This window comes from Homo sapiens, chromosome 1 (genome assembly GCF_000001405.40).
Source record: "Homo sapiens chromosome 1, GRCh38.p14 Primary Assembly".
NCBI lineage: Eukaryota > Metazoa > Chordata > Mammalia > Primates > Hominidae > Homo > Homo sapiens.
The window spans coordinates 145,865,613-145,886,134 of NC_000001.11; the positions used below are offsets into that span (position 1 = coordinate 145,865,613).

The 20,522-nt window shown below is 48.1% G+C and overlaps 1 protein-coding gene across 2 annotated transcripts, besides 4 other annotated features; it reads right to left on the minus strand.

Annotated features, from left to right (window-relative positions):
• Positions 1-951: 951 nt before the first annotated feature.
• On the minus strand, positions 952-20,254 carry ANKRD35 (ankyrin repeat domain 35). 2 transcript variants are annotated; one of them, NM_144698.5, is made up of 14 exons: positions 20,108-20,254; positions 13,646-13,776; positions 12,779-12,867; positions 12,356-12,420; positions 11,204-11,261; positions 10,957-11,027; positions 10,528-10,634; positions 9,210-9,394; positions 8,543-8,580; positions 6,370-8,373; positions 2,699-2,788; positions 2,379-2,444; positions 1,675-1,780; positions 952-1,153 (listed from the first exon to the last, which is right to left on the minus strand). In NM_144698.5, the coding sequence occupies exons 1-13, from the start codon at positions 20,144-20,146 to the stop codon at positions 1,718-1,720; spliced, it is 3,006 nt and encodes a 1,001-aa protein (NP_653299.4). In that variant the 5' UTR covers positions 20,147-20,254; the 3' UTR covers positions 952-1,153; positions 1,675-1,717. The 2 variants fall into 2 exon arrangements, with proteins under 2 accessions (NP_653299.4, NP_001267728.1); NM_001280799.2 differs by lacking the exons at positions 12,779-12,867; positions 13,646-13,776 and having other exon boundaries at positions 12,356-12,376; positions 20,114-20,254.
• Positions 6,431-6,510: a silencer, noted in NCBI's record as "silent region_1266". NCBI's record gives its function as "represses an Ori minimal core promoter by ATAC-STARR-seq in GM12878 lymphoblastoid cells {active_cell/tissue: GM12878}" and the evidence as "EXISTENCE:reporter gene assay evidence [ECO:0000049][PMID:35858748]".
• Positions 6,561-7,078: an enhancer, noted in NCBI's record as "H3K4me1 hESC enhancer chr1:145562391-145562908 (GRCh37/hg19 assembly coordinates)". NCBI's record gives its function as "activates a minimal SCP1, AML or CMV promoter by ChIP-STARR-seq in primed H9 embryonic stem cells {active_cell/tissue: H9 hESC(primed)}" and the evidence as "EXISTENCE:reporter gene assay evidence [ECO:0000049][PMID:30033119]".
• Positions 12,236-13,219: an enhancer, noted in NCBI's record as "H3K4me1 hESC enhancer chr1:145556249-145557232 (GRCh37/hg19 assembly coordinates)". NCBI's record gives its function as "activates a minimal SCP1, AML or CMV promoter by ChIP-STARR-seq in naive and primed H9 embryonic stem cells {active_cell/tissue: H9 hESC(naive and primed)}" and the evidence as "EXISTENCE:reporter gene assay evidence [ECO:0000049][PMID:30033119]".
• Positions 20,128-20,317: a silencer, noted in NCBI's record as "silent region_1267". NCBI's record gives its function as "represses an Ori minimal core promoter by ATAC-STARR-seq in GM12878 lymphoblastoid cells {active_cell/tissue: GM12878}" and the evidence as "EXISTENCE:reporter gene assay evidence [ECO:0000049][PMID:35858748]".

The window sequence follows — 20,522 nt, forward strand, 5'->3', positions numbered from 1 at the left end:
GCAGCGAAACCACTGTGTATGATAATATAGAGATGGCCAGGCACAGTGGCTCATGCCTGTAATCCCCAGCACTTTGGGGAGCTGGGACAGGTGGATCGCTTGAGCCCAGGAGTTTGAGACCAGCCTGGGCAACATGGCAAAACTTGGTCTCTATTAAATATACAGAAAAATCAGCCAGTTGTGGTGGTGCTCGCCTGTAGCCCCAGCTACTTGGGAGGCTGAGTTGGAGGATTACTGGAGCCCAGGAAGTTGAGGCTGCAGTGAGTTATGATCATGCCACTGCACTCCAGCCTGGGCAGCAGAGTAAGACCCTGCCTCAAAACAAACAAACAAACAAACAAAAACAAAAAAAAGATAACATAATGATGGATATATGTCAATATAAATGTGTCCAAACCAACAGACTCTCTAACACCAAGAGTGAACCCTAATGTATACTATGAACTCTGAATGATAATAATGTGTCAATGTAGGTTCATCAATTATAACAAATAAACCACTCTGGTGAGGATATTGATAATTGGGGAGGCAGTGCCTGCATGGGGGCAGAGAATATATGAAAATCTCTGTACCTTCTGCTTAATTTTGTTGTGAACCTAAAACTGCTTTAAAAATAAAGTCTATTTGCAAAATAAAAAACAAAATCTACTTGTATCCCTGGGCATGGTGGCACATGCCTGTAATCCCAGCTACTTGGGAGGCTGAGGCACAAGAATCACTTGAGCCCAGGAGGCAGAGGTTGCAGTGAGCTGAGATCATGCCACTGCACTCCAGCCTGGGCGACAGAGCAAGACTCTGCCTCAAAAAAAAAATCTACTTGTAAAAAAATGTTTTTAAAAATAAAGACATACTGTTAATATTTGTTTCCAGAAAAAAAGAAAAGAATAAAGGGATGAAAGATATTCCTTTCCCCACTCCCCTTTAGAAAAAAAAAAATTACACTCAGCCCCGTCCTGCCTCATGCTTTATTTTCCATAGAGCTTGTTTCCATCCATACCTCCTCTGGTCTCATCCATGCTGATTCCAGGGTCCAGGTTCTCAGGTCTGAGGTCCATAATGTCAGGTGAAGCCCTGCCCATACCATTGCCTAGTGGCCAACACCCCCGCCCACCACAGCCTGATGAAGCCTCTGTCAACCAGGGTTTCTTATTCCCTGAAAGAAGAAATTCAAAGATGAAATGCACCCACTTCCATATCCTCAGTCTCCTCCCACTCATATCAACATGCTAAAAGGGACCCTCATCTATCTGGACTGGAGAAGGGGACTATCTGCATTGGGGTGGGGGGAGGTTTGGGGGATGACTGCTCTTTGAATGAATGGTATCAAAGTGAAGAGATTCTGGATTTTGTAGAGTCCTGCCCTAAGGAACAACTGTCTACCACTATCCTACCATCACTCATCTTTCACTGGCATCTCCCTACCCCAGACCCAACCCCTCTTTTCAGTCTCCATCTCATAAGTCAGCCCCCTTAGTCCACCTGCTCACTGATTCCTGACTCCACCCAGTGATTCTCCATGTTCTGTCTTCTCAGTCACCTCAAATGCTCTATGCCCCAAAAGGCTCCCCATTGTCAGCCACCACGGGGGCAAAAGGGACTAATTTCATTCCATACACCTTTCCCAAGCCCTTTCTCCCAAACTCCTTCCCTCATCACCCTTAACCCACAACTCACAACAGAGAATCTCGTATCCCTGAGGGCACACAGTGAGGCTGCCTCACTCCTCTTCCATGCTAAGGATTTGCAGCAGGATATTGTACACTTCATGTTCCATGTAACCCTGTAGATGTCAGGAAAGGAAGAAAAGGAGATGAAGAACAGAAAATGGAGAGAGAGAGGTGAGGGAGAGGTTCTGTGGTACAGTGGAAGGCTATTTATTTACTATATACCTTCACTTATAGTATTTAACTTCTCCATGGCTTTTTCCCTATCTTCACAGGGAAGATAATGATGTCTACTTTTCAGGATTGCTCTGAGGATTACAACCATGAATATGAAGCAAAGCACCAGGTACACAATAGGTGTTCATTCCATTCTTTGTAGTTATTATTCCTAACAAGGGAGCAAGACACCTACCTCTTCTTCCTTGTTTAGGACTAAGTGGCTCCAGGAGGAGACTGAGAAAGGGTATTGGGGACAGGAAAAGTCCTTACTATAGGCCAGAGAATTGAAACAGAGGGGGAAACACCTCTCCTTCTCACATTCATGCACAACCTCTCTTGATCTACCAAATGAGATCAGAGACCTAGCACTGGATCCAGCTTTCCGAGAAACAGCAAGTGTGTACAGGGACCCTGGAGAAGAGAGAGGGACCCTAAATGCAATACCCTATACTCAGCTTTATGTCTATACCTCCCTCAAAACTCCACCATGCTCACCCGAGCAGCATTCAGTAGATGATTCCTGTAGGTGGAGATGATCTCTTCATGGTTCTTCTGGGAATCCTGGGAATGAACATCAATGGGAAGTCACATGTCCACCCTCAGTCACCCAAGCATGAGGAGCAACACAATGAAGTGGTCAGCAGTACCAGGTGGGCTCGTTGGCCCATCACTGGCCCATCCTGGACCACTGCCTAGCCAGGCCTCTGTAATTCCTAGAATGTCTCCCTCAGTAATTCCTAGAATGTCTCCCACATATACATCACTTCCACTGCTGACCTTCTTCTCCAGCACCATCCCTGACAGCCAAAACATACCTGCAGCTGCAGGGCAAGGCGAGCATTTTCTCCCCGAATTGCTAGAACCTCTTCTGAAAGCTGCTCCAGCTTCTTCAACAACTCCTTGATCTGAGGCCAAGAGGAAAGAGGCAACCAATGAGGCTCCAAGTCATTTCTCCCACAAGGGTCAAGGTCAGCTTCCTTTTACTGAGTATTTAATATGTGCCAATTTTATACAAATTGTCTCATTTAACACTCAAAACAGCTTTTCTTCTGTGTGGTGTTCACTAAAAGTAGGAATAACAACGTAAAAGCTAATTAAGGTCACAAACTTCGGTGAAACCCTTAAAAGTCCAAATCTTTTTGATATTGTGAACTATACCCCTTCCAGTTTAGTTTCTTCTGGACTTTCCTTACTTGTCAGTTACCTTTTAAAATTTGCACACATTATGATTAAAAGTGGGCCTCTACTGTGATGATTCCTATTTCCTCTCATGTTTTAAAGTGCAAACTAACATTTAAGTGAACATTAGCATCAAGTAGTGCAGACATTTGTATGCATTTCCTTGATTCAATTTGTGACCTTACCAGTTCTGAATTGGAATTGCCCCATTTCGTAGATAAAGGAAACTAACTATATTGCTGCACTTTTAAGTTTTCAAAACAGTGTTTAAAAATTGCATTGTTTTTATTTTTTTAAAACTCAGTTTAAAAAGACTAAAATGTTCTTTCAAAAGAGGCATCTAAATGTGTTCCTAATTTTGTATATGGGCTTAGGTTTTGTAACCAATTAAAAAAAAAGCTGCTATCCAATATGATAAAACATTGAAAACTTAAAAAAATTTAAAAAAAAAACAGCTTTTCTTCCGGGAGGAACAATACTTCTCTGAAGGAAGTTTGTTTTTTTGTTTTTTTTTGTTTGTTTGTTTTTTAGACTGAGTCTTGCTCTGTCACCCAGGCTAGAGTGCAGTGACACCATCTGCTCACTGCAACATCTGCCTCCAGGTTCAAGTGATTCTCCTGCCTCAGCCTCCCAAGAAGCTGGGATTACAGGCATGCGCCACCACACTCAGATAATTTTTGTATTTTTAGTAGAGGCGGGGTTTCACTACGTTGGCCAGGCTGGTCTCGAACTCCTGACCTCAGGTGATCCGCCCACCTCAGCCTCCTAAAGTGCTGGGATTACAGGTGTGAGCCACTGCGCCCAGCCTGTTTTGTGTTTGGAGGCAGGGTCTCACCTGCCACCCAGGCTGGAGTGCAGTGATGTGATCTCAGCTCACTGCAACCTCTAAATCCTGGGCTCAAGCCAACCTCAGCCTCCTGAGTAGCACAGGAACAGGCACATGCCACCATACTCAGCTAATTTTTGTATTTTTTTGTAGAGTTGGGGTTTTGCCATGTTGTCCAGGCTGGTCTCAAACTCGTGGGCTCAGGCGATCCATCCACCTTGGCCTCCCAAAGTGCTGGGATTACAGGCATGAGCCACTGTGCTCCGCCTGAGGGAAGTATTATAATCTACGTTTTGTAGATAAAGAGACTAAATTAAGTAATTTGTCAAAATCACACAGCTAATAAGTGATGAAATCATGATTTGAACCACAATCTCTTTGACTCCTTGGCCGATGCTCTTAACTTGGTATCAGATCCTAACCTACTCCTGGCTACTGACCACTAAGGGAAATGGAGATGAGTCCTTATGGCTTATTGAGGCAGAGGCACAAATGCAGTTAATGGTAACTAGCAGTAATAGGAATAGTGGTAGTAGGAATAATGATAGCTACCTTTTACTGAGTACTTACCATGGGCCAAGAGTTCCAAATTTTTTTTTTTTTTTTTTGAGGCAGAATCTGGCTCTGTCGCCCAGGCTGGAGTGCAGTGGCGCGATCTCAGCTCACTGCAAGCTCCACGTCCCGGGCTCACACCATTCTCCTGCCTCAGCCTCTCCGAGTAGCTGGGAGTACAGGCGCCCACCACCACGCCCGGATAATTTTTTTGTATTTTTAGTGGAGACGGGGTTTCACCGTGTTAGCCAGGATGGTCTCGATCTCCTGACCTCGTGATCCGCCTGCCTCAGCCTCCCAAAGTGCTGGGATTACAGTCATGAGCCACCGCACCCAGCCCCAAATCTTTTAAATAAATATAATTTCTTATTTAATGCAATCTTCACAACCATTTTATTATCCTCATTTTATAGATAAGAAAACTGAGGACTAGAGATGTTAAATAACTTGCCCAAGATCAGACAATCTTGGTCCAGAGAACACATTCTTAACCATGACACTATGTTTGCTTTCACCCGATTGTCTACTTTCAACTTCTCCTTCAATGCAACATAAAAATACTTTCTTTAATTAACCTCAACCCGCACTGATTCCTATTCTGGATAACATTCCTTCTATTTTTATGTACTCCACACTATAGAAAACATACATTCTTTTATATATATATATAACGTTTTTTGAGGAGAAGGAGGAGTCTCGCTCTGTTGCCCAGACTGGAGTGCAGTGGTGCGATCTTGGCTCACTGCAACCTCCACCTCCCAGGTTCCAGTGATTCTCCTGCCTCAGCCTCTTGGGAGCTGGGATTACAGGCACATGCCACCACACCCATCTAATTTTTGCCACCATGCCCGGCCTTTTTATATTTTTTAATCATTCTAAATTTGACCATGTATCCAAGTTTTAATAAGAAGTCTGAAATCATTCATTTCACGGTTAAGTCTGGAAGTACTAAATCCATGTGTAAATTGATATTTAGAGTTCATAAAACATGTCTCATAGAAACATGTAGACTCACATTTAGAGCAAGCTTTAGGAAACTCTGGTATCTAATAGTGGTTTTCAAGCTTTTTTTCTTTCTTTCTTTCTTTCTTTTCTTTTTTCTTTTTTTTTTTTTTTTTTTTTTTTTTTTGAGACAGAGTCTTGCTGTGTCACCCAGGCTGGAGTGCAATGGTGCAATCTTGGCTCACTGCTACCTCTGCCTCTCTGGTTCAGGCGATTCTCCTGCCTCAGCCTCCTGAGTAGCTGGGATTACAGGTGCCCGCACCACGCCCAGCTAATTTTTGTATTTTTAGTGGAGACCGGGTTTCACCATGTTGGTCAGGCTGGTCTCAAACCCCTGACCTCAGGTGATCCACCCGCCTCGGCATCCCAAAGTGCTGGGATTACAGGCGTGAGCCACCGCGCCCGGCCTCAAGATTTTTTTCTTTGCATTGGTGCCCTCTTTGCCAATGGACATCGTTTTGTAGAACCCACCCTGAAGTGGAGGCGAGAAGAGCAGCTCTCGCTGGGTCTACTTTTCTTAACTCATTAGTTCTTGAGTGACCTCCTCAGAACTTCAGTAAAACCACAGCAACCCATCATGCTATTAGGCCTCTTCCCAGGCTAATATGCAATTCAAGTCCAAATGCTAATAAACGATGGTGCTGCACTGGTGGCAGCCCTGAGCACACTGCTTCTGAATCTGGGTGCCAAATTTTAGTACCTAAGCCCCCTTCTCTCTTCCACTTATACCTTACCTCACCTCCAATCTCACCAACCCCCTCAGACCCACGAGAACATAGTAGTGTGGTCCCTGCAAAGGACTGGTGCTCCGTTTGGGGTATTAATCTGACCCACTGCTGCAATAAAGGTTGCTGGATTCAGGTTAGTAAACTCCCAAATACACAGAAACTTTCCCCAGTGCTCCCCAGGGCTACCTCAGCTGCTCACCTTGGCTTCCTTGTCTCGGCAAGCCCCAATGAGATGCTCCATCTTCTCTTTCAGCAGCTCTGCCGTTTTCTCAAACTGCTCGGAGCGCCCCCGCATCTCGCTGGCCTGGCGCTCTTGTTCGGCTGCCTGAGCGGCCAGGTCCCCGCTCCGGCGGCGCTCCTCGGCCACCGCCTCCCGCAGCCGACCCACTTCCCGGCAGGCCGTATTATACTTTTCCAACAGAGCCTTTAGCTCCTGGCCCCAAGCCTGAGCCTGGGCCACCAGCGAACCCCGAGTTTTCTCGTGTTGCCGTAGGCTGGCTGCCTCCCGGGCCCTTAGCTCAGCCACTTCCTCTGTGGCTTGGTAGAGCAGCTGCTTCAGCTTTCCGATCTCCTGGCTCTTCCCGCTCATCGTGGCCTGAACTGCCCGCAGCTCTTCCTCCAGCTTCCCCAGGTCTTGCTCCAGAGCGGCCACTTGGGGGGATGCTGGGGCCTTTAAGGAGGTGCCTGGCTCCCTACACGGGGACAAGGACCCCCGCAACTGCTGGTTTTCTTCTTGCAGCCGAGCCAGCACCTGCTGGGCCTCCCGGTGCCGATCCACCAGGGTGCTGATGCAGGCCCGCAGCTCCTCCAGGGACTCCGCTGCTTTGCTTTGTGCACTCCTCTCGCCCACTAGGTCTGCGGGCAGGCAGTCCCACAGCCCTCGGAGACCGCTGCTCTGGGAGGCCAGGAGCTTCCGCAGCTTCTCTGTGGCCTCCTTCTCCATGGCCAGTTCATTTGTCAGCAGCCCCACACTCTGTCGCAACTGCTGTAGCTGGACCTGCGCCTGTGGCTTGGGCACAAACTCCCGCTGCAGCCGCTGGCTCAGGGACTGTAGCTCCCTCTGCAACCTCTGCCGCTCCCGCCCCAACTCCCCTAACTCCTCCAGCAAGTTACTGTTGCTCAGTCTCAGTACTGACATCTCCTTCTCCAGCTGTCCCTTTGCCAGGCCTCCTAGGGCCTTTTCCCCTCCAAGGGCCCCTAGAGGCTCTCCTTGAGCCCCAGGAACCCTTTTCTCCTTCTCTTCATCCTGTTTGATGCTCCCTGGGGCTGCCTTTAGGGCTCCCTCTCTGGACTCCTGGGAAGGAACCTCAGGTTTCACCTGTAGTCCTGCCTTTGCCCATTCCAGCCTTGCCAGCACCCGCTCCAGTCGGGCTTCCATCTTCTCCCAGGCAGCTGCTGCTGCCTCAGCACGGGGAGTCCCCAGGGCTCCCTCCATGACCGGTCTTGACAAAGCCCCCCGGGCAGCATCCTTTTCTCGCCACACTGCAGCAAGCTCCTCCCTTAGTTGAAGCAGAAGCTGGTTCATGGCTGCTGGGCCCACTGGTTCAGCCACTGTGCCTCCTGGTTCAACTCCTAGAACCTGGGAACTCTCCTTCTGACCAGCAGGCAGCTGGTCAGCATGATCAGGGCCAAAGGTCTGTGCCCCATTGGTAGTCAGTTGCTGTCCTGTGGCTTTCCTGATGGTCTCAGACGCTGGGCTCTGGGGTGGCCCCTGTTCTTCTGGTTGGGACCTTCCATGGACTTCATACTGGATCTTTCCTGGGGCTGAGTCCTCAGCCTTCTTTGGAGCTAATACTGGATTTACTGTGGCTGCTGCCTGCTGCTGCTTCTTTAGCTCTTGTGTACTCTCAGCCAGCAGGTCCTTAGGACAACCCTGCTCCATGCCATCCCCTCCAGGCCGGAGACTAGAGCCTTGCTTTCCTGAAGCTCTGGGCTCCCAGGATAGGAGGACCCCTAGCTCCTGCGCCTGCTCTCGAATCTGGTTCTCAAGGTCCAGATAGGCTGCAGCTTGAGTCTTACACTCTTCTGTCTTTTGCACCAGCTCCTGCTCCAGCCGAACAACTTTCCTCCGCTCCTCTTCATACTTCCACCTCCACTCCTCCGAGCACGGGTCTTCATCCTCCTTCTCCTCTTGCTCCTCTTCAGGCTCTGCTCTCCATGAGCTCTTAGGAGGAGAACCTGCCTGGGGCTCAGATGGAGAGGCCTATGTTGGAAACAGAATAGTAAAGTGTGGCCACTAGGCAACGAACTGAGCCCTAGGAGTGCCTTTCTTCTCTTAAATGTCTTGACACCCCAAGGACCACTAGGAATAGTCACAGTGGGATAGCCTGGGGTGTGTCAAAAGCAAAAGGGGGAGGCACTTAGGGTCTTACCTGGGATGCGAGATCTGGGTGCTGGACTAGCCTCTGACCTATAAGAAAAGATATGAGGAAAATGAGAGAGAAGACAGGTTCCATGTACTTCCAGCCCACATTCTTATCTTCAGACTTTTTCTGAGAGGAGTGGCCTCTCTGTGATCAATCTCACTGCACATCTTCCTGGTGCCAGAAGCCAATCTTGTTTAGTGGATCCCTAACTATCCAGCAACTTTGGTTTCCTATCCCAGAAATGGGCCACTTCATTCATTTTGTTCGCTCATTTATTTATTGGTCACTATGTCCAGCACTTTAATAAGCACTGGAACTTCAATGGTGAGCAAAACAGAAATGGCCTGTCACCTAAGGGGGTTACAATCTGGTAGAGGAAAGAGAGAGTGACCAACAAATCACACAAATAGATGTACAATTACAACTCACAAACGCCAGAAACAACACTAGCCAGAGCTGTCCTCAGTGAGAGACCAGGCTGCATTAAAGAATTTTGTGATCATACTTTTGGGATGGGGATTTGGGGTCCTCTCACAGTAGCAGCAATAAATACGTAAACTCTCAACCCAGGTGACAATTATTTGTCAGATAGATTACTTCCATGGAAACAAATGGGACTCTAAGAAACTTCTCTGATTCTTAGAGAACGTGGAAGTTACACAAGGGCCTTTACCGCCCCGCCGCCGCCGGCTCAGGGCCTGCTGTAGGTGCCTCCACAGTGCCTTGTCTTGTGTGTGCAGAGCATAGTGCAGAGCATCATGCCCTGTGCTGTCCACAGCCCCCGCGTCAGCTCCGTGGCTCAGGAGCAGTTCAGCCACCTCGGCACTGCCTTTCTCACAGGCCAGGATCAAAGCCGATCTGTGGGTTGAGACAAATCTGAGCACAGACTTTCCACATGGAACCCAGAAGTCCTGGTTCCAGACATTCCACTCACAGGGTAAGCTCTCATTCAGTGGGGTCAGGAGAACAACAGACCAACATTAGACCAGACTAGACTTCTCTTTTTTTTTTTTTGAGACGGAGTTTCACTCTTGTTGCCCAGGCTGGAGTGCAATGGCATGATCTCGGCTCACTGCAACCTCTGCCTCCCAGGTTCATGCGATTCTCCTGCCTCAACCTCCCGAGTAGCTGGGATTACAGGCATGCACCACCACACCCGGCTAATTTTGTATTTTTAGTAGAGACAGGGTTTCTCCATGTTGGTCAGGCTGGTCTTGAACTCCTGACCTCAGGTGATCCACCCTCCACAGCCTCCCAAAGTGCTGGGATTACAGGTATGAGCCACTGCACCAGGCCAGGACTAGGCTTTTCAAATGCCATTCCTTAGAGCTGCAGGAACAGAAATTAGGGGGCCAACTGGATGAGCTCCATTTTTATCTGCTCTGTATATCAAGGTTCTACATACTTTTTTTTTTGAGACGGAGTCTCGCTCCTCTCTCGCCCAGGCTGGAGTGCAGTGGTGCAATCTCGGCTCACTGCAACCTCCACCTCCCAGATTCATGCCATTCTCCTGCCTCAGCCTCCCGAGTAGCTGGGACTACAGGCACCCACCACCATGCCTGACCAATTTTTTGTATTTTTAGTAGAGATGGGGTTTCACCATTTTAGCTAGGATGGTCTCAATCTCTTGACCTCGTGATCCACCCGCCTTGGCCTCCCAAAGTGCTGGGATCACAGGGATTCTACATACATTTTTTATTGGAAAAAAGGATCCTCTTGCATAAAAGATAATTTGACAACCAGTAAATTCAGCCAACGGGTCCAGAAGTGTCGATTCTACTTCTGGGGTCATCTATCTATGAAGATGGTGGTGGCAGCAGGCAGAGCTCTTCAGAACCTCCACTGGGAAGGAATGAGGTTCCCAAGAACACAAAGACCAACCTGACTTCTTCCCCAACACACACAAACACACACACACACACGTTGCCCACTGGCTTCTTTCTAAATTGGTCAGGCATGGGAATTGGGGTGCATAGACGAGGGGGGCTCACTTGTCATTCTTGTCTGTAACATTAACTCGGGCGCCTCGCTGCAGCAGCTGTGAGCAGATAGCTGCGTGCCCACCCAGCGATGCGATCATCAGGGGTGTACGTCCATCCTGCACAGATTGTAGGAAGAGGTTCATGAGCAGCCAGGGACTGCAGAGGCTTGACAATCCTACCGGCTCCCCTCCCCTCACACCTGTCCAAAAAAAATAAAAGCCCAGATCTTGGGTCTGAACACTCCCTTTTGGAGGGTTAGAAGCTCTCCAGAAGATAAGGCTTAACCTCTCTGTGAGGAAGAAGAGGAGAAGCAGGAGGAGAAGGAAGAGAAGGGTGGTGCTAACACAGCCCTAGGTCGTGGAAGTTGGCCAGTCAAGCTGAGAGACAGCAGCAGCCCTTCTGTGTAGGACACTGCCCACTTGCCCATCTGACACTCACATTATCCAACACGTCCAGGAAGGCTTCGTGGTCACACAGCAGGAGCACACTTGAGGCACAGCCAGAGGAGGCTGGGGAGAAGATGTTTGGGTTAAGGGGAAGCATGAAGAAAGCCTACTCAGACTATGACCCAACATCCCCTCCGACCATTTCATTGGTTGGCCCTGGCTGCCCTTCCCTCCTCACGCCTCCCCTTTCCCACCCTGTAGTCTCTGCAGCCCTGTTCCCATGAGTCCCCTGCACACACCTGCCCAGTGCAATGGACTACGGTTTTCTGCATCCACAGCATCTTCATTAGCACCATGCTGCAAATGGCCACAAAGGGAAGCAGCATGGAGCTTGGTGTTAACATCCTCATCCCATACCCCCATTGGGTCACCAATTTCCATGGTAATATGAGGAGGGGCAGGAGGTCCACTTTGGAGAAGGCTATCTACTAGGCAAGCCCAGTTCATCCATTGCTGATGATAGGCAGCCTTGAATATCAGCCCTGGTTTCTAAACCAAGGGGCTAAGAAAAATCAGATGGTAATAAACGTGTTAGGGAAAATGACACCCAATGTCCCCGTGGCTGGTACTTTAGAAACATAATTGTGAAATTTGGAAAGGATTAGGAAGAACGAAAGTAGAACATCCATTTGCCTGATGGCCGGTTAAGATAACTGATTTTTTTTTTTTTTTTTGAGACAGAGTCTCTCTCTGTTGCCCAGACTGGAGTGCAGTGGTGCGATCTTGGATCACTGCAACCTCCGCCTCCTGGGTTGAAGCGATTCTCCTGCCTCAGCCTCCCGAGTAACTGGGACTACAGGCACGTGCCACCACACCCAGCTAATCTTTTGTATTTTTATTAGAGATGGGGTTTCACTGTGTTAGCCAGGATGGTCTCGATCTCCTGATCTTGTGATCTGCCCACCTCCATCTCCCAAAGTCTGGGATTACAGGCATGAGCCACCGCACCCGGCCAGTAACTGCCTTTTGTGCTTTTGGAGACTCATTTATAAATGATCCACATGTCATTTTACATGTATATTTCTCTTTATACTACTAGACTATAAACTCTTCAGAAACAGACAGTAGGGCTTTGGTTTAATTTGAACATCTCTGTCCTCCTTCCTCTTGCCCCTCATCATAGCAGGAAGTCTCTGCAGTGGCTCTGCTAATGACAAAATCGATAGTGCCTGGCAACTCTGCTTTATAACCTGCCCTCAAAGGCACTATCAAACATGGTGCCTGCACATAGTAGTTAAATAAATGTTGGCAAACAAATGATTATCAGCCCTCCTATTGGGGATGAGGCGAGTACATTTGGCCAACTATTCCTTTTAAGTATGAAATGAAGTTAGAAAACTCTGGGACCACTTCTTCCCTTCATAAGAGTGGTATCAAGGGACTGCTCTTACCTGAAGCAGAACCTTAACACACTGTGGCTGGCAGGAGATGGTGGCCAAGTGTAGGGCAGTGCTTCCTGGAACAGAAAGAAGGGGAGAAGGAGGGTAGGTGGCCCCATGCATGCTGATGACTCACAGGGAGGGAAGGCAAGAGACGCACAGATAATCAGGAGATTAGGGAGAGAAGCTTTCAGCCACACGGGGCCAGAAATTCCTGTTCCCCAAGTGCCTGGTACCTGTGATGAAGGTGGGAGTGGGGGTGAGGTGTGCCCAGCTTACGGGGAGGGGAACTCCTGGAAGGATGCTGGCCAGAACTTACTAAGGAGAGAAGCAAGGGGCCACAGTAGGAATGTCCAGCAGGGCCCAGCACCGCCCCCGACTGCTGCTGTACCAGGGGCAAGCAAGCAGCGTGGCCCAGTGCTCCGGCTCACTCACCATCCTCATTCTTGCTGTTGATGTCAGCCCCATTTGCAAGCAGGATAGTCAGACATTCTGTCAGGCCTTTGGAGGCTGCCAGATGAAACCTGCCAGAATCAAGGCCGAGAGGCCAAAGGATAAAGGGACCAGGGATGAGGAATGGGAGAATCTTGATAAGCCCTTCTTGCTATGCTCCCTACCCCAAAGCCAATCCTAAAAGCAGGAAAAGAAGCTCCCCTAGCTTGAATTTCTGAGAAAGAGAAGTCTATATGGCCTCCAATCACAAAGGATGCTAAAAGCAAGGAAGAAATAAGAGCTACAGGTCTCAAGGAATCTCAGACTATTGCAGGGGTGTCTAGGGAACACATAATTACCTGCCTCTCTGAGCACAGAACCTTAGCGGAAGTGGAAGTGTCACAGAAAGAGTCAGCCAGAGCAGAGTGAAGGCTGGACATTCGAAGGCTTTGGGTAGAGACAAGGGATAACATTTCCTTTGACTTAATCACTACTCCCTCTAGCCATGTGACTCCCATGCTACCACTTCATTTCAAATTTCCCATGCATACACACCCTCCTACTTGTGCAATGAAGAAACACTCTACTTAGTGTATATATTCATTTTCTGTTTGTTTAATGGGCTTTATGTACTTTACAAGTCAGTGGTGTCAATCTGGGTTGTGCAATGGATGGAGCTCAGGAACAATATTTTCTTTCCTCACTTTGTGTAGAACTTATATGTAGCAAAAAACTATTGATATACTTGCTAATTAAGACAATGAAAAGAGCTCTGAAGTTGTAGGCATTCCCTGGTCCTATGTTATATTGGATTTGGGGGCTTCAAAAGGGAGCCACATGTAAGGGGCAGGGGCAGGAGGACTGACTTACGGGGACTGGCCATTCGAGTCAAGCTTGGTGGGTCGGGCAGATTTCCTGGAGGCCAGGGCAGCCACGCGTCCCACATCCCCCCTGTGCACTGCCTCCAGCAGCTTCTGATCATGGCGGTTCCATCTCTCCACCTGGTCCAGAGCCACAGGTTGTGTGAATATAGGGCATGAGGGTAGTGTGGAGAAAGAAAAGAGGCAAATGGTTAGGATGCCAAATGAGAGAAAAGGAACATCCCTTTTTCTCTTCCACAAGTCACACATCCTAGATCATTTAGTCCTTCTTAGGTGGGCCTAGCTAAATCTTAACCAGCTAATATGCCACCAAGAACTATTGCTGGTTATTTCCAGCCCTGAGCCAGAAGGACCCTGGACCACTGAATTAAAAATCATTTGAGTGCTGAATGCACAGTATTTCAAATGTCCTTTTGTCATCATGATTAGAGTTGTTGTTCAGTGCCCAACCTCAGAGCAATCCTTTCCCTTTTGCTCTCTAGGTCTTGCTGGAGCAAATGGAACCAACGTGACCACTTTTGAGGACTCATGTTGCCTCTCACCACCGCCTCCACCCCTGAAACCCTGCTGCTCTGCTTTTTGTTGTCAGTTGTTTGAGAAGTACATTAAGGCACCGAGCTTCAGGTTACAGCTAGGAGTTCCAATACCTAACCATTCCACCTCTTTTCATTGGCTTTGGGCCCCACAGTTAAAAGAGGAAACTAGAGTTTCTGTTTTCCCATATCATATCTAGGCCCTTTGGCGACCGTCTCTCTCCTTTCCATGGCAACAACAACCAAAAGGCAAAGAGGTTTCTAGTTATGTTTGAGGAAGCAGCAAGAGGTAGCTCCCCTTCTCCTCCCTCCCAGTTTCCCTGGCAGGGAGCAGCTGTCTAGACAACAGCCACACCTGGGCATGCATTGTTCTATCATTCCAGCTTGGGTTTTGTGGGTGGTAGGGTAATTATAATAATTGAAGTGTTATAGGGCATAAAAGAGACAGCTATGTAAAAACACCCAGGGCTGAAAGTACAGAAAAGCCTGGTTTTGTCCAGAGAAGGGAATGAAAAGGAAGAGACAGATGCAAAGATCTGTGGTCTGATGTAAAGGCTGCCAGACAAATATTTCGCTGGCTGGCCTGAGTTTGGGACCTAGTTCAGCTACATTCTCGGCTATGTGACCTAAAGTAAGCCATTAAACACCTTTAACCTGTTTCCTCTTCTATAAAATACGGCTAATAACAACTACCTCATCATGCTGTGACTATTAAACAAGCTAATATATACAAAATCTCTTTATAAACTGTAAAGAGCCATACAAATATATGGCATCCTTGTAACAAAACAGGAAGTAGTGGGGTGTTGGTGGTGGCACATAGCATTTTATAAGGTATAATCTCAACAAGAGGCTATAGAAAGGGGTGAAGAAAAATAGGGTCTGTGGAAGCCCAGTAACTCATTTTCAAACACTGTTTACGTAGCCAGGGCAAATTATTAATCAACCACAGGAAAGCTCTAAATATCCAAACCATAAAATTATCTAAGGTAGATGGATTCTGAGGTAATACTCCTGTACAGAAGTTGTAACTTCTCACAGTCCTTTCACATGCTATTTCAATTAGTCTCTCAACATCCCTGGAAAGTAGCTAGGGCTATTATTCCATCTCTTTGACAGAAGAAACAGAAGTATACCAAGATTAGATAACCATTCAAGATCACGAAAAAGAGTGGCAAAATTGGAATTAGAATCCAGGCCATGGCTGGGTGCGGTGGTTCACGCCTGCAATCCCAGCACTTTGGGAGGCCAAGACGGGTGGATCACCTGAGGTCAGGAGTTCAAGACCAGCTTGGCCAACATGGTGAAACCCCGTCTCTACTAAAAATACAAAAAATTAGCTGGGGGTGGTGGCCGGTGCCTGTAATCCCAGCTACAGGAGACTGAGGCAGGAGAATTGCTTGAACCTGGGAAGTGGAGGTTGCAGTGAGCTGAGATTGCACCATTGCACTCCAGTCTGGGTGACAAGAGCAAGACTCCATCTCAAACAAACAAACAAACAAAAAAAGAACCCAGTCCACCTGATGCCAAATCCTAGCTCTCCCCACCAGACCACACTACTACAAGCTATAGAAACAGGTTTACTTATTTCCAGATAAACAGTCTCAAGTTGCCTCCAGGGCAAAGCCACCCACCCTCAGACTCTACTGTCTCATGGAGTCTCCAAACAGGTTAACTCTCAAAGGACAAAATAAGCAAAATGACTCCTTCACATACTAACAGACTCTGACATGTAAGAACGCATTTTCTAATGGCCTTTGGAGACCAGGTCACCCCCAGGAAAGCAGAGAGCTAGAACTATGCCCCACGACAGGGTGCTGCCATCAGCTGACGTCAACCTGCAGTTCTCGAAATGTTTCAAGTCTTGACTCTAACACTGTCTGCCTCTGTGAATTTAGGCATGTAACAACATCTCTGAACCTCAGTTTCCTAATACTATAACAACCTATAAGGCATCTAGCTCGGTGTCTGTCACATAGTAGATGCACAATCCATCCTTCCTGAGCACATTTTAGATGTTCCTGGGCTCAGAATTCTCCAGCCAGGAGAGTGGAAGGGATCTTGCTGATACTAGCCAGCGAATAACAGCCAAGCTGTACAGATGGTAAAGATGCTTCTTAGCAATATAGATACTTTTCTTTCCCCTTCTTTTTTTTTTTTTTTTTTTTTTTGAGACAGAGTCTTGCTCTGTCGCCCAGGCTGGAGTGCAGTGGCGTGGTCTCGGCTCACTGCAACCTCCACCTCCCAGGTTCACGCCATTCTCCTGCCTCAGCCTCCCGAGTAGCTGGGACTACAGGCGCCCGCCACCACACCCGGATAATTTTTTGTATTTTTAGTAGAGACAGGGTTTCACCATGTTAGCCAGGATGGTCTCAATCTCCTGACCTCGTGATCTGCCCTCCTCGGCCTCCCAAAGTGCTGGGATTACAAGCGTGAGCCACCGCGCCTGGCCCTTTCCACTTCTTTTTATTTCTTTTTTCTTTTTCTTTCTTTCCTTTTTTTTTTTTTTTTTTGAGACAGAGTCTTGCTTTGTTGCCCAGGCTGAAGTGCAGTGGCATGATCATGGCTCACTGCAGCCTTGACCTCTGGGCTCAGGTGATCCTCCCACCTCAGTCTTCTGAGTAGCTGGGACTACAGGCATGCTCTACCACACCCAGGTAATTTTTTTTTTTAGAGATGAGGTATCACTGCATTGCCCAGGCTGGTCTCAAAAACTCCTGGGCTCAAGTGATCCTCCGCACCTCAGCCTCCCAAAGTGCTGGGATTATAGGTGTGAGCCACCACGCCTGGCCTGGGTACTTTTCTTTCCAGCTAGATAGTTCTAAATCCACCCAATTTACTTCCTATAATCTCATTATACTAAGTAGAGTTTAGAATGGGTAGAAACTTTTCATGGCCAAGCCTCTGCAGAGCTGAAGTAAAGGACAGAGAGATGCTTTCAAATGTCAAGATCCAGTCTGTAGCTTACCCCAGCACCTTGGAAAGGAGGCACTAGATTACCATCACAGCCTCAAGGGAGCAATCACCAAATTAATCAGCAGACTCAATAAGTATAAGCTTTGTATTTCCATAGCTGAGATTAGAGGACTTTTGTAGAAGTAATTGTACCTTCTCCTTATATCTCTGGCTGTGTACCTATAAGCATCCTACAACATGGAAGCACACCAGCAAGTAGAGAGAGAAGGAATGACTTCTGCTGTAGGTCAGGTGAGTGGAAACAGAAAGGGGAACCAGGACCTAATTCTCAACGTTGTAATTGCAGTAGACAGTACCAATTTTTTTTTTTTTTTTTTTTTTTTTGAGACGGAGTCTTGCTCTTGTTGCCCAGGCTGGAGTGCGATGGCACCATCTCGGCTCACTGCAACCTCCGCCTCCCGGGTTCAAGCGATTCTCCTGCCTCAGCCTCCCAAGTAGCTGGGATTACAGGTGCCTGCCACCACACCCGGCTAATTTTTGTATTTTTAGTAGAGATAGGGTATCGCCATGTTGGCCAGGCTGGTCCCAAACTCCTGACCTCAGGTGATCCACCCGCTTCAGCCTCCCAAAGTGCTGGGATTACAGGCGTGAGCCACTGCGCCCAGATGATCCAGTGCCAATTATTTAAAGCTCTCTTCTGGTCTACTTCTGGTCTACCTAGGCAGAGTAAGCTCATAGGTAAGATACCCTCAAGGATATCCTCTACTTGACTAAAATAAAATGGGATTATAGGAGTTGGGGTTTTTTTGTGTGTGGATTTTCCTATATACTGGTAACTTAGATTAGCTTTAAAATGATCACTGCTTTTTCAGTCCTTACTCAGACTGACAGTGCAGGGCTCTGGCCCTGGACCCAAATGTGTGAGTGGAGATGGGTAGAGGCAGTCTTCCAGTGTGACTGGGAAGCCAGGCTTTTGGAGTGGCCATAAAGACTGCCACACTACTTCTCTGACAAATGGTTCCAGAGTAGTTTGCCACCCAAAACAGTGGAGGAATTTATCATGAGAAGTGTGGGGAAATTTCATGAGGAACCAATCTGCAGCTGAAACTGCCCTATTTGCAAGCTTTCTATGACTCCAATCTGTCTGAAGAAACAGTTTTCTTTCCAGCTAGATAATTCTAAACCCATCCAACTTACTTCCCATAATCTCATTATAGTAAGATCTTGTTATACTAAAAGTTTAGAATGGGTGGTCATTCTTTATGGTCAAACCTCTGTACAGCTAGAATCAAGGAGGACAGAGGGATGGTTCCAAATTCCAAAAGCCAGCCCACTCATTCCAGCACCTTGGAAAGGAGGTACTGCCCAAGGATTGGGGGATCAGAAAGAATGAAATAGTTTCCCCATTCCTAAGAAGCAGGCAGACTCCACAAACCTGTAAGGGAAAGGCAACATTGAATACTTTCAGTAACTAAGGAAGAGTCCATATGAATTTCTAAAAAGTCATTATGAGTTAAGACTGAGTCTGGGCAGCCTCAGTTTCTGGTGCATATAATAGTAAATACCTTTTGATTGGTTGATCAATGTGTGGAAACTAAGTAGAGATGCAAATGTAAGTGGGACAAGGACAGGCCTCAACAGAGTTCATACTCTTGCCTCATAGCTTGCTTCCAGGATTCTGTAACCTGCCCATGCAGAATGAGCTAATTGAACATTTCTGATATTTTCTTATGAACGATACTACTAAGTCAAGTTAGCAAAGCAATATTGCTACAAGTAGCTGGCTAATTTGCTTCTAAATTAGCCGTAACCCCAACCTCTACAGAAAATTCCATTTCCAAATAAGGGGGCTCTCTGTAAGAGATCTCTAGAGAAGAAGAAGCAATACCCTCCCTAAGCCACCACCTTCTATAATCTTATGTTTTTTTTTTTCTGGGAGAACATGGGGAATAGAGTGACTTCTGCTGGGAACTCTGAGTCTGCTCTATCCTCTTCTCTCATCATCACTTTCCCCCACCTCAACCAAGGAAACAGAGAGTATCATTCCTAAGCAACTGGGCAAGGGTTCAGGAAATGAATAATCTGGGGAAAAGCAGGCAGAAAGGCCTTGAGCCTTGACTGGCCCAAGAACCAGTCTGATGATCAGACACTGCAGTGAACTGGCTGGGGTGGACTCTGCAGGCAACTCACCCAGTCCTCTGGGGAGCAGTCAGGCAACTGTGCATCCTCTGGCAGTGCCTGTGAGGCTGACCAGACTGCAATATTAACTCACAGCAAGCAGGCAGGAGGAAAAGTGGGACTGGCGACCACTGGGCAGAGTAGGGCAGAGGTTGGAGGGGAGAACAGAAGGTTGCTGTTGTGGGAGCATCAATTGGAAAAAGGTTTGGAGTGATGTTTGAGGAACAGCAGTGCTGGTGAGAGATGGGAGTGAAAGTGGCATGGGGCAGGAGGGAAGCAATGACAGAGGAGATTGTGAAAAAGGGTTAGCAGAAGGCACAGGGCTGGGAGTGCTTGTTGAACTAACAGGAAACAGCAAGGATAGAGCTACGTGGAAGGCAAGATTGCGGGGACAGGGCAGGGATGAAATATGGGGCTCTGGGGCATGACTTGGTGGTGTAGAATGGAGCTTGAGGCCAGGCAGGGGCTGAGGAAGATGCTTGGGGGAGGTTTGGTACTGGGAGACGGAGCAGAAGTAGGGTCAGGGCCATGGGAAGGGGACAGAGTTGCAGAAAACGAACCAGAAATCGGGGGTGTAGATGCTAGGAGGACAAGAAAGGGGCCGGGGAAAGGGCCTTGGGGATGGCAGAGGTGAGCAGGGCAAGTCAGAAGCTGCAGGGCAGGGTCTTGAGGAAGGCAAAGCTGGCGGGCTTCCTTGCAAGACTAGAAGAGCTAGAAAGACTGATAAAAAGAAAAGGCGATGATGCATTGAGACGGGACTAAAGACTTCTGTCACCACAGAGCTGGGATCCCAACCCCATCCTCCCACACATTTTGGCACCTACCGCCACCTGTGTGCTGGAGCAGGAGAAGATACGCTTCATGGCCGGGGTCGGGGCCACGGGGGATGGGGACGCGCAGAGAGCCGGGCCACAGGTTCCCGAACCCACCGGACTTGGCTGCGGCTGTGCAAGAGACAGCTGTCAAAAAGCAGAGCGGGCCCCGCCCCACGATCCGCCTCAGAACCCGCCCTGCTCAATCAGAGGCAAGAACCCAAGGGCTGGGCTCAAAACTCCGCCCCTGGCCCTGCCCTACCCCATCCCTGCAGAGGAGAAAAGCCCGCAGTCTTAGGCTGCGACGGGGGCTTGGCCTCGAACCTCGCCCTTCAAATCTGAACCCACCCTGGGATCCGACCTGCTCAATCAGGAAAGGAACCGGGTGGGCTCCAGCTGAGACTCCTCCCGGACCCGGACCCGCCCC